The following is a 12,824-nucleotide window of genomic DNA, read 5'->3' as shown; positions in this document are numbered from 1 at the left end:
AGAGAAAGAAATAAAGGACATCCAAATCACAAAGGAGAAAGTCAAATTATCCTCGTTTGTGGATGATATGAACTTATATTTGGAAAAGCCTGAAGACTCCACCAAAAAATGATTAGAACTGATAAACAAATTTAGTAAAGTTGCAGGATAAAAAATCAACAAATAATTGTAGCACTTCTATATACCAACAGTGAAAAATCTGAAAAAAAGATCACATCTATAATATTAATAACTACAACTAAAATTAAATACCTAGAAATTAACCAAAGGAGTAAAAGATCTCTACAATGAAAACTATAAAACATTGATGAAGGAAATTGAAGAGGATACTGTTGGGAATCCTATTTATAGATAGCAAACTCACTCTTTCACCCCAAATTCTGCATCAATAATAATTATTAAGATAAATGTTGGGATTTTTATTTGCATCATCCTAGTAATTTTTTTTGAGACAGAGTCTCCCTCTGTCACCAGGTTGGAGTGCAGTGGCACGATCTCGGCTCAGTGCAACCTCCTCCTCCCAGGTTCAAGCGATTCTCCTGCCTCAGCCTCCTGAGTAGCTGGGACTACAGGTGCCTGCCACCACGCCCAGCCATTTTTTTTTCTTTTGCATTTTTAGCAGAGACGGGGTTTCACCATGTTGGCCAGGATGGTCTTGATCTCTCGACCTCGTGATCTGCTCACCTCAGCCTCCCAAAGTGCTGGGATTACAGGCATGGGCACCGCGCCCAGCCTGCTGGCCAACTTTCTATTTTTCCTTCTTTGCTAATAGATTCTTGATTTATTCAGGTCTTGAGAACCCAGTAAGTGGATGCTGGTTATTGTAAGTCAATCTTGGCAATTCTACTTCCCTTGCTACTGATTGTTTTATGTGTGGTTAGTCAATGCAATGCTGTCTCATAATGTTTAAGAAGAAGTTGGTTGAAGGTTTTATTAGAGGGGTTCACCCCTAATAAAAAGGGGTCCAATGAGGACTTCAAGTCCAGGCTCTTATGGGAAGGATGCTGTTTTCCCTGCTCCTTCTACTAAGTAAAACTATAGACCCTGAACATAATACAAGAGACAACCAAAGGAGACCGCTAGAAGATGGAAAGAAGAAGGCAAGCTGGTTAGAGGTCCCAGGACTGGAGAAACAAAATAATAGCAGGGCATCTTACAACCCACCATCCAGCAGAGAAAGAAAATCCACTCTGACCCACAACCTAGCCACAGAAGGTGGCTCAGGTAGCTTCATTCCTCCCCCAGATTTGTGGAATCCCACCACCAACACCAGGTAAGCCCAGCAGCACCAAGAAGAAGGATCACTCAGAAGCCCCACTAGTAAGTGACCAGAGGAATCACTTCCCCGAGGACCTGAGCCTCCCCTCCCCTAACCAGGGACATGGGAGACACAGGCAAGAAGGACTTACTGCAACAAGCACCTAGCCTAGGAAGTTTTTTCATCCCCACTGTCTGCAGACTCCTTTCCCCAACCTGTGGGCACCAGGGACCTAGCATGGGGAAACTATCTGCCTATTTAGGCAGCACCAGTAGGGACCATTGGGAGATCAAGCAGTACAAAAAAAATGAGCAGCCCAAAATAACTCCACAAAAGCTCTGAAGATTAAATTGTCGTTGGAACCACAGCATACGAAAAAAGGCGAAGATCTGTGTGCCTAAACCTAATCAGGATGGCTATCTGCTAAAACAAAAGAATTAAATAGGGCCCATAGTTCCCTAACATAATAGTTAAAATGTCCAAGATACAGTGGAAGATCACCTGTCATACCAAGACTCTGGAAAACCACGACTTGAATAAGAAATTACAGTCACCTGACATTGACATGGAGCTGAATCAGAGGTTAAATTGCCTGAAAAGAATTTTCAAACAGCCATCGTCAAACTGCTTCAACAAGCATTACAGGCTCTCTTAAAACAAATAAAAAATTAGAAAATCTGATCCAGAAAATAAAAGTTACAAAAAAGAACAAAATGGAAATTGCAGAAGTTAAAAAATAGTAACAAGCTTTGCTCACTAGTAGAGTTAAGATGGCAGAAGATAAAATAGAGCAAACTTGAGGATTGAGCAAAACAACGTGCCCAAAATAAACAACAGAAAATAGAGTGAAAAAGATGAACAGAGTTGCAGGCACTCGTGGGAGAATAACAAAAGATGCAACATTTGTATTATTAGATTTCAAGAAGGAAAGAAGAAAGAAGACAAAAGGATGTTGAAGAAAATTATGGGTGAAAACTTCCAAATTTTGGTGAAAGACATAAACCAACAGATTAAAGAGGCTGAGAAAACCCCAAAGGGAATAAATCCAAATAAATTCATGCCAGGGAACCATATATGTCTGAAAACTAAAGACAAGGAAAAAAATCTTGAAAAGTTCCAGGAAGAAATAACACATTCACAGTAAGTGAGCACCATTCTGAATGACAGCAGATTTCTCATCAGAAACCATAGAGACCAGAAAGAAGTGGCACAACACTTTTCCAGAGATGAAAGAAAAAAACTGTCTGCTGCTAATTCTATATGTGGTGAAACCATCCTTCAGGAATAAAGGGGAAATAAAGACATCCTCAGATGAAGGAAAACTAAAAGAATTTGTCACCAGATATTTACCTTTAACCCTCTTCCCATTTGCCCCAAGAATACTCGCCAGCAGTGCTTGCAGCGGCAGCGTTTACCCCGATATAATTTTGCCACAAGTTATCTTTTTTTTTTTTTGAGACATAGTCTCGCTGTGCCGCCCAGGCTGGAGTGCAGTGGCGTGATCTCTGCTCACTGCAAGCTCTGCCTCCCGGGTTCACACCATTCTCCTGCCTCAGCCTCCGGAGTAGCTGGGACTACAGGCACCAGCCACCGCACCTGGCTAACTTTTTGTATTTTTAGTAGAGACGGGGTTTCACCGTGTTAGCCAGGATGGTCTCGATCTCCTGATCTCATGATCTGCCCACCTTGGCCTCCCAAAGTGCTGGGATTACAGGCGTGAGCCACCATGCCCGGCTGAAATATCTTGCTTTTATTATTATTTTTGCATCACTGTAAAATGATGTCTTTTGGAAACAAAAGACATCATTCTATTTAGGGCATTCTGGATTTAGTTAGTGGTATTCCCATTTACAAAATATAGTAATTTTCAACTGCTGAAAATGTCAAATCCTAGAAAACGTAGCATTCCTACATGTGATGTTAACATCATTCCCAAAGAAGATTCTTTTGATGAATCCTATTTTTCCGAAATACATGAATCTGATGATTCAGGCAATTCTGAAGTTAGTTCTGTTTAGAAACAACTCCAACAACAGCATTTATATTTTATTTTCACATTGAAAGTCAGTCAGGTTTGGCCGGGCACGGTGGCCCAGCACTTTGGGAGGCTGAGGCGGGCAGATCACGAGGTCAGGAGTTCGAGACCAGCCTGGCCAACATGGTGAAACCCCGTCTCTACTAAAAATACAAAAATTAGCTGGGCATGGTGGTGCATGCCTGTAATCCCAGCTACTGGGGCAGCTGAGCCAGGAGAATGGCTTGAACCCAGGAGGCGGAGGTTGCAGTGAGCCAAGATCGAGCCACTGCACTCCAACCTGGGTGACAGAGCAAGATTCTGTCTCAAAAAAAAAAAAAAAAGAAAGAAAGAGAGTCAGTCAGATTTGCTTCAGACTCCAAGAGCGTGTTTATGTAAAACTAAATGAGATCTGGAAGTGAACTGCACTTTTTTTGGTTTTCTAAATGGGAAAAGGGTTAAGAATGGCTAAAGGAAGTTTTTCAAACAGAAAGAAAATGATAAAAGTAAAAATCTTGGTGCATAAGGAAGTAAGAAAGGACAATTGAAAGAGTAGAAATGTACACATCCCAAAGATTATCCTTCCCCTCCTGTGTTGTATAAATCATGTTGATTATTTTTTAAGTGACGAAGGTAACACAAACTAATGGGAGGGAGATATCCACACTTCACTTGAAGTAATAAAATGTTAACACCAATATCTGGGGAGATGGGCCAAGATGACTGGCTAGAAGCAGCTAGTGTGCGTGGCTCTCACAGAGAGGAACAGAAGGGGCGAGTAAATACAACTCCTGCAGCTGAAACATTCAGGTCCTTGCATTGGGATTCATCAAGGAAACAACTTGACCCTACAGAGAATGAAGAGAAGGAAGACTGGACAACGGCTCCCCGGGGAGCAACATGGAGCCAGGACATCCTCCCTCGCCCAGGGAAGCAGGGAGTGAATGAGCTGCCCAGGAAAGCAAGCTTCTCCCACAGATCTTTGCAACCCTTGGCTCAGGAGATCTCCTTGTGAACCCCCTCACCAGGGCCTTGGGTCTTCAGTCTGACACAGAGCTGCCTGGAGCCTGGGCAGAGCAGCTGCTCAGGCATGCATGGAGACCCTGGAGCCTTAGATCCTTGGGCTTTCTGGCAAAAGTAGCTGCAGCTCTGGCAAAGAGGGAGATTAGACTCCCATACATACCCCTAGGAAAGAGGCTGAATCCAGAGGGCTGAGCAGCAGCAGCCTGCAGACCCCACTTCCACAGCACCCCACAAGATAAAGGCCCCCCGGCTTGGAATTCCAGCCAGCTACCAGCACTGCCCTGCACCTCCCTAAGAAGGAGCTCCCGGGGTGAGGGGTGGGCCACCGTCTTTGCTGTTCAGGTGATTTAGCCCTTCCAGCCTCCAGGCTCTGGAGAGTCTGAGCCAACCTGGGGCGGAAGAGATCCCTTAGCACAGCACAGCTGCCCTACCAAAACACGGCCAGACTGCTGCTTAGCAGGTACCTGACGCCATTCCTGCTCACTGGGCCAGACCTCCCAGCCAGGGCCTCTAGCCACCCCTGCCGGAGATCTCCAGCTGACAGAGATCTGAAGTCCCCCTCGGATGGCGTGCCCAGATGGACAGGCGGGCTGCCAGCTCCTTGCTTTTTGGGTGACTTTGCCGTTCCAGCCTTTGGACTAGGGAGTATCCGAGGCGGCAGGGGGCTGAAGTGGACCCCAGCACAGCACAGGTGCTCTACCAGAACGTGGCCAGACTCTGCTTTTTGTTTTGTTTTGTTTTGTTTTTTTGTTTTTTTTTTTTGAAAAGTTCAGATCCTCTTTATTTCTCCCATCCCAATCCCATTGTTTGTCTCTAGTCTTCCTTTCCTAACCATTGGTGACAAGTATCATGAATATGTTTATTTCTTGCTTTTAATTATTTTTATGTAAATTTGATATACAATTATTTCATTTTTACGTAAAGGACAGTGACATATTTACAGCTAATTTTTTCACTCAACATCGCTTTTAATACATACAACTCATACTAGATTGTTTTTTACTTGAGTTAAAAACACCATATCATAGAATCACAACTTAAAGCAAGTTTCTCTACATACATTTAGAAGTAAAGTTAAGATAGTATACATGCATTAAATTTACTGGAAGTTGTCAATTTGCTTACTAAAGTGGTGTTTCAGTTTATAGCCCTACTTCTTACTTAAAATTATGGTCATTGAGAAATACCCATCTTATTTTGCATTTTCCTGGTTATTAGTGAGCTTGAGCCCCTTTTCCTATAGTTATTTGTCTGTTGTATTTTTATAACTGTGAATTGACTGTTTATATCTTAATCTTTAAATTTCTTTTTTTTTTTTTCTTTTTCTTTTCTTTGGGACAGGGTCTCACTCTGTTGCCCAGGCTGGTTGCAGCAGCGTGATCACAGCTCACCACAGCCTCAACCGCCTAGGCTCAAGTGATCCTCCCACCTCAGCCTTCAGAGTAGCTGGAACTACAGGCATGCGCCACCATGCCGGGCTAATTTTTTTTTTTTTAATCTTGGTGGTATTCTCTTTTTATTTATTTTGTCTTTATTCAGTAATCTGCTTTGATATCCTGAATCAGTATTTCCTTAGGTGGAGAGAGTTTTCTTATATTGAATATTAGATTCTTTCTCCAATTTTTTTTTTTTTTTTTTTTTTTATTGATCATTCTTGGGTGTTTCTTGCAGAGGGGGATTTGGCAGGGTCACAGGACAATAGTGGAGGGAAGGTCAGCAGATAAACAAGTGAACAAAGGTCTCTGGTTTTCCTAGGCAGAGGACCCTGTGGCCTTCCGCAGTGTTTGTGTCCCTGGGTACTTGAGATTAGGGAGTGGTGATGACTCTTAAGGACCATGCTGCCTTCAAGCATCTGTTTAACAAAGCACATCTTGCACTGCCCTTAATCCATTCAACCCTGAGTGGATACAGCACATGTTTCAGAGAGCACAGGGTTGGGGGTAAGGTCACCGATCAACAGGATCCCAAGGCAGAAGAATTTTTCTTAGTACAGAACAAAATGAAAAGTCTCCCATGTCTACCTCTTTCTACACAGACACGGCAACCATCCGATTTCTCAATCTTTTCCCCACCTTTCCCCCCTTTCTATTCCACAAAACCGCCATTGTCATCATGGCCCGTTCTCAATGAGCTGTTGGGTACACCTCCCAGACGGGGTGGTGGCCGGGCAGAGGGGCTCCTCACTTCCCAGTAGGGGCGGCCGGGCAGAGGCGCCCCTCACCTCCCGGACGGGGCGGCTGGCCGGGCGGAGACGCTCCTCACTTCCCAGACTGGGTGGCTGCCGGGTGGAGGGTCTCCTCACTTCTCAGACAATGGGCGGCCGGGCAGAGACGCTCCTCACTTCCTAGATGGGATGGCGGCCGGGAAGAGACGCTCCTCACTTTCCAGACTGGGCAGCCAGGCAGAGGGGCTCCCCACATCCCAGACGATGGGCGGCCGGGCAGAGACGCTCCTCACTTCCCAGATGTGATGGCGGCCGGGAAGAGACGCTCCTCACTTCCCAGATGTGATGGCGGCCGGGAAGAGACGCTCCTCACTTTCCAGACTGGGCAGCCAGGCAGAGGGGCTCCCCACATCCCAGACGATGGGCGGCCGGGCAGAGACGCTCCTCACTTCCCAGATGTGATGGCGGCCGGGAAGAGACGCTCCTCACTTTCCAGACTGGGCAGCCAGGCAGAGGGGCTCCTCACGTCCCAGACGATAGGCGGCCAGGCAGAGACGCTCCTCACTTCCCAGACGGGGTGGCGGCCGGGCAGAGGCTGCAATCTCGGCACTTTGGGAGGCCAAGGCAGGCTGCTGGGAGGTGGAGGTTGTAGCGAGCCGAGATCACACCACTGCACTCCAGCCTGGGCACCATTGAGCACTGAGTGAACCAGACTCCGTCTGCAATCCCGGCACCTCGGGATGCCGAGGCTGGCGGATCACTCTCAGCTAGGAGCTGGAGACCAGCCCGGCCAACACAGCGAAACCCCGTCTCCACCAAAAAAATACGAAAACCAGTCAGGCGTGGCGGCACGCGCCTGCAATCGCAGGCACTCGGCAGGCTGAGGCAGGAGAATCAGGCAGGGGGGTTGCAGTGAGCTGAGATGGCAGCAGTACAGTCCAGCTTCGGCTCGGCATCAGAGGGAGACCGTGGAAAGAGAGGGAGAGGGAGATCGTGGGGAGAGAGAGGGAGACCAGGGAGAGGGAGAGGGGGAGGGGGAGGGGGAGGGGGAGGGAGAGGGAGCCAGACTCTGCTTTTTTAAGCGGGTCCTGATCCCGTTCGTTTCCGCTGGGCCGGGCTTCTCAACCGGGGTCTCCAGCCACTTCCTACAGATGCCTTTCAGCAGGCAACAAGTCCATTCCTCCCTGGGACAAAGCTCCCAGAGGGAGGGACAGGCTGTCATCTTTGCTGTTTCTCAGCCTTCCCTAGTGACACGCCCAGGTTCTGGAAAATCCGAGGTGACTAGAGACTGAAGCGGGCCCCAGGCATAGCACGGCAGCCCTGCAGAAAAGTGGCCAGATTGTTATGTGGGTGCCCGTTCCCATATCTCCTCACTGGGCAGGTCCTCCAGGCCTGGGCCTCCAGCCACCGCCCGCCAGAGCTATTGAGCCAGCACCAACTCAGCATCTCCCTGGACAGCCTCCAGGGGCAACTGAAAGTCTCTCTGTCACGGGGCAAAGACCCGAAGTGCCTTATCCACATCCCCAACAAGCGGCAGCCAACCCTAGGAGAGGAGGCCAGTCCATTCCCCACGGGTCTCAAACAACTCCTCCTTTAATTAAAAGAGGACTGCCCAGGGTTGGGTCGCATCCATTAAGATGTGCTGTGAGAGGACGTGATGTTGGAGCTGCATCTGACCCGTGATGGAAACTGAGAACACTGTAGAAGGGATGACCAGGAACGTGTTTAACCAACAGGGGAACCACCCTCTTCTCAATGTCTTATTCTGTGGGAAAATGCCAATTACTCATCGGTTATGAGATGTGTAATCTGTTATTTGCAACCAAAATACTCTACTTGATCTAGGCTTGAAAACTCAAGCTACCTCCAATAGAAGAATTATTGGAATAGTTTCCAGACAAAATATAAAACATCCAGTTACATTTAAATTTCAGATAAACAGTGAATACATTTTTATTTATTTATTTTTTTAATTTTATTATTATTATACTCTAAGTTTTAGGGTACATGTGCACAATGTGCAGGTTTGTTACATATGTATACATGTGCCATGTTGGTGTGCTGCACCCATTAACTCTCCATTTAACATTAGGTATATCTCCTAATGCTATCCCTCCCCCCTCCCCCCACCCCACAACAGGCCCCGGTGTGTGATGTTCCCCTTCCTGTGTCCAAGTGTTCTCATTGTTCAATTCCCACCTATGAGTGAGAACATGCAGTGTTTGGTTTTTTGTCCTTTCGAAAGTTTGCTGAGAATGATGGTTTCCAGCTTCATCCGTGTCCCTACAAAGGATATGAACTCATCATTTTTTATGGCTGCATAGTATAGTGAATACACTTTTAGTATAAGTATGCCCCATATATGGGAGAGGATTGAGTCTTATAAAAAATTACTTGTGTTTATTTGGTATTCAAATGTGACTACATTTCTCACATTTTTATTTGCTAAATCTTGTAACCCAGTATTGGAATAGGTATGGATGTATATGGTAACTGAAAATTAGTGTTTGTACAGGCTGCATTAGATTCGACTCCCAATACGTGAGTGAAACTGAGGATCTGTCATTTCAGATTTGTCATTTTGAGAGTAATAATGTCACATTTGTTTTACACATATAAGTATTAAAACTGGGATTTTTCTTTTTGGCTATGACCACAAAAGCACAGACAACAAAAGCAAAAGTAGACAAAGGGGAGTGCATCAAACTCAAAATGCTTCTCCACAACAAGAAAACAATCAGCAGATCAAAGAGACAACCTACAAAACAGGGGAAAATATTTGAAAATTATACATCTAATAAGAGGTTAATATCCAAACTATATAAGAAACTCAAGGCCGGGCGCGGGAGCTCACGCCTGCAATCCCAGCACTTTGGGAGGCCAAGGCGGGTGGATCATGAGGTCAGGAGATCGAGACCATCCTGGCTAACACAATGAAACCCCATCTCTACTAAAAATACAAAAAATTAGCTGGGCATGGTGGCGGGCACCTGTAGTCCCAGCTACTCGGGAGGCTGAGGCAGGAGAATGGCGTGAACCCAGGAGGCAGAGCTTGCAGTGAGCCAAGATTGCGCCACTGCACTCCAGCCTGGGCAACAGAGCAAGACTCCATCTCAAAATAATAATAATAATAATAATAATAATAATAATAATAAAATAAAATAAACTCAAACAATTCCACTCCCGGAAAACAAATAACCAGATTTTAATATGAGCTAGGGACCTGAATAGACATTTCTCAAAAGAAGACATACAAATGGCCAACAGGTATATGAAAAAAATGTTCAGCCTCACTAATCAGTCGGGAAATGCAAATGAAAACCACAATGAAGTATCATCTCACACCTGTCAGAATGGCTATTAGGAAAAAAAAAAAAAAAAGATAACTGTTGGTCGGGATGTGGAGAAAAGGGAACCCCTGTACACTGTTGATGGGAAGGTAAGTTAGTATTGCCATTATAGAAAACAGATGAAGTTTCCTCAAAAAATAAAAATAGCCCGGTGTGGTGGCTCACGCCTGTAATCTCAGCACTTTGGGAGGCCAAGGTGGGAGGATTGCTTGAGACCAGGAGTCTGAGGCCAGGTTGGGCAATATAGTGAGACCTTGTCTTTACAAAATAAAAAAATTAGCTGGGTATGGTGGCACACACCTGTAGTCCTAGCTACCTGAGAGGCTGAGGCAGGATTGCTTGAGCCCAGGAGGTTGTGGCTGCAGTGAGCCATGATCATGCCATTGCACTCCAGCCTGGGTGAAAAAAAAACAAACCTAAACTAAACAGGACCACCATTGTGGCCCAGCAATCCCAGTTCTGGGTGTATATGTAAAGAAAATGAAATCAGCATGTCGAAGAGATGTCACACCCGTGTTCATTGTGGCAATCTTCACAACAGCCAAGACTTGTAACTCACCTGAGTCCATCTATGAATAAAAGGATAAAGAAAATGTGGTATTGCCAGACGCGGTGGCTAATGCCTATAATCCCAGAACTTTGGGAGGCCAAGGAGGATAGCTTGAGTCCAGGAGTTTGAGACCAACCTGGGAAATATGGTGAGGGCTGGTCTCGACAAAATATTTTTAAAAATTAGCCAAGCGTGGTGCTGCATGCCTGCAGTCCCAGCTACTGGGGAGGCTGAGGTGGGAGGATCGCTTGAGCCTGGGAGAAGGAGGTTGCAGTGAGCCGAGATTGAGCCACTGTACTCCAGCCTGGGTGACAGAGTGAGACCCTGTCTCAAAAACAAACAAACAAACAAACCAGAAAACGTGGTATGTATGTGTATATATAGACTTATATATACACATATACAATGCAACACTATTCGGCCTTAAAAAAATAAGAACATCCTATCATTTGTGATAATATGGAAAAACCTGGAAGCCACTATGCTAAGTGAAAGAAGCCAGGCACAGAAAGACAAGTACTGCAGGATCTCACTTAAGTGTAGAAACTAAAATAGTGGAACTCATAGCAGAGGGTAGAATGGTGAGGGCTGGCTGGGTGGGGAGATGCTGGTAAAAGGGCACAGACTTTCATTAGGCAGTTTGGGAGCTCTATAGCGCACAGCACAGTGACCACAGATAATAGTAATGTATTACGTACTGGAGCATTGCTAAGAGAGTGGATCTTCAATGTTTTCATCTGTGTGTCTGTGTGTGTGTATGGTGATATATATATGTGTGTGTGTGTGTATATATATATGGTGTTATATGAGTTAATTAGCTTCATTGAGCCCTTTCACAGTGCATACATATGTCACAGCATCATACTGTACACTATAAATATATACAATTTTTATTTTTCAATGATATCTTAATGAAGCTGGGGGTTGGGGAATGGGATTCTTTTTCTCCCAGTTTCAGCCCAGGCCTCAGGATAATGAGTGTCAGCTACAACCACATTCCACGCAAGGTGCAGGGCCTATGAGGGACTTTTAAAGGAAGTGGTAAAAAATCAATTCCATGACTCTTGCCCCTCCATCAACCTTCTTAGCAAAAGCTACAAATTCAAATATACCCTTAGGCCAGCGTAAACTGGGGGAAGAGAAACATGCGATGAAGTTTAGTACTTTCTCATGTGGGACTAGGCATGTTAATCTCTGAAATAAGGTCATTACTACTTCAAGAAGTGACCAGAGGACTTTGTACCATTCAGGAGTGATTGTGAAAATTATGAGGACCAGCAGAAGATTTCATCCAAGGTGGCAGGAGAGAAACAGCTCACAGAGCAGACTGAGAGGTTTGTGTGTATCACAGGGTGTCCAACTCATTCCACTGGTCTAAGCCCTTTAGAAATCTGAGTGCACTTAATCCTCTTACCAGTGCAGTAAGATTTATATTATTATTTCTATTTTACTGATAAGGAAACCTACGCAAGTATAATAAACTTTGAGGAGGTTACCTAAGATTACACATCTAGTGTGAGATAATGACAAGATTTGAACTCATACACTCTGGCTTGAGGGCCACTTGTAATCACATGCTAAACAGCCTCTTGCATGAAGTGGAGCAAATGCAACCACATTTACATGAAAGGCTCTAGATTTTTAATTTTAATTTAATTTAATTTAATTTTAGACAGACTATCACTCTGTTGCCCAGGCTGGAGTGCAGTGGCGCAATCTCGGCTCACTGTAACCTCCACCTCCCAGATTCAAGCAATTCTCCTGCCTCAGCCTCCCAAGTAGCTGGGATTACAGGTGCCCGCCAACACACCCAGCTAATTTTTGTATTTTTAGTACAGAGGAGTTTCATCATGTTGGCCAGGCTGGCCTGGAACTCCTGACCTCAGTTGATCCACCCACCTCGGCCTCCCAAAGTGCTGGGATTACAGGTGTGAGCCACCACGCCTGGCTAGACTCTTTAATACATCCATCATCATTATCATCATCACCACCATCTAAATTCATTCGAGGATTCTTTATCTCCACTGAACATGTCCTATACTTCGCACTGTTTTGTATCATGGGAATGGATGGTGTTTTGAAACAATAGGGCAAAATAGCAATGATCACTTCCTGAGTGCAAAATATATACTTGTATTAAATCCTTCACTTATTTAATCCTCTCAACAAAGCCATGAGTTACCTCTTTCACAGATAAGGGAACTATTAATACAGTTAAGAGAGAATAAATTATCCACATCTAGTAAGAAAAAGATTTACGTGGCCGGGCGCCGTGGCTCACGCCTGTAATCCCAGCACTTTGGGAGGCCCAGGTGAGCAGATCATCTGAGGTCAGGAATTCCAGACCAGCCTGGCCAACATGGCAAAACTCCGTCTCTACGAAAAGTACAGAAATTAGCCGGGCATGGTGGCACATACGCCTGTAATCCCAGCTACTCAGGAGACTGAGGCAGGAAAATAGCTTG

This window comes from Homo sapiens, chromosome 18, assembly GCF_000001405.40.
Source record: "Homo sapiens chromosome 18, GRCh38.p14 Primary Assembly".
Lineage (NCBI taxonomy): Eukaryota > Metazoa > Chordata > Mammalia > Primates > Hominidae > Homo > Homo sapiens.
The sequence above is the reverse complement of the archived record's forward strand: the minus strand, read 5'-3'. Positions refer to the sequence as shown.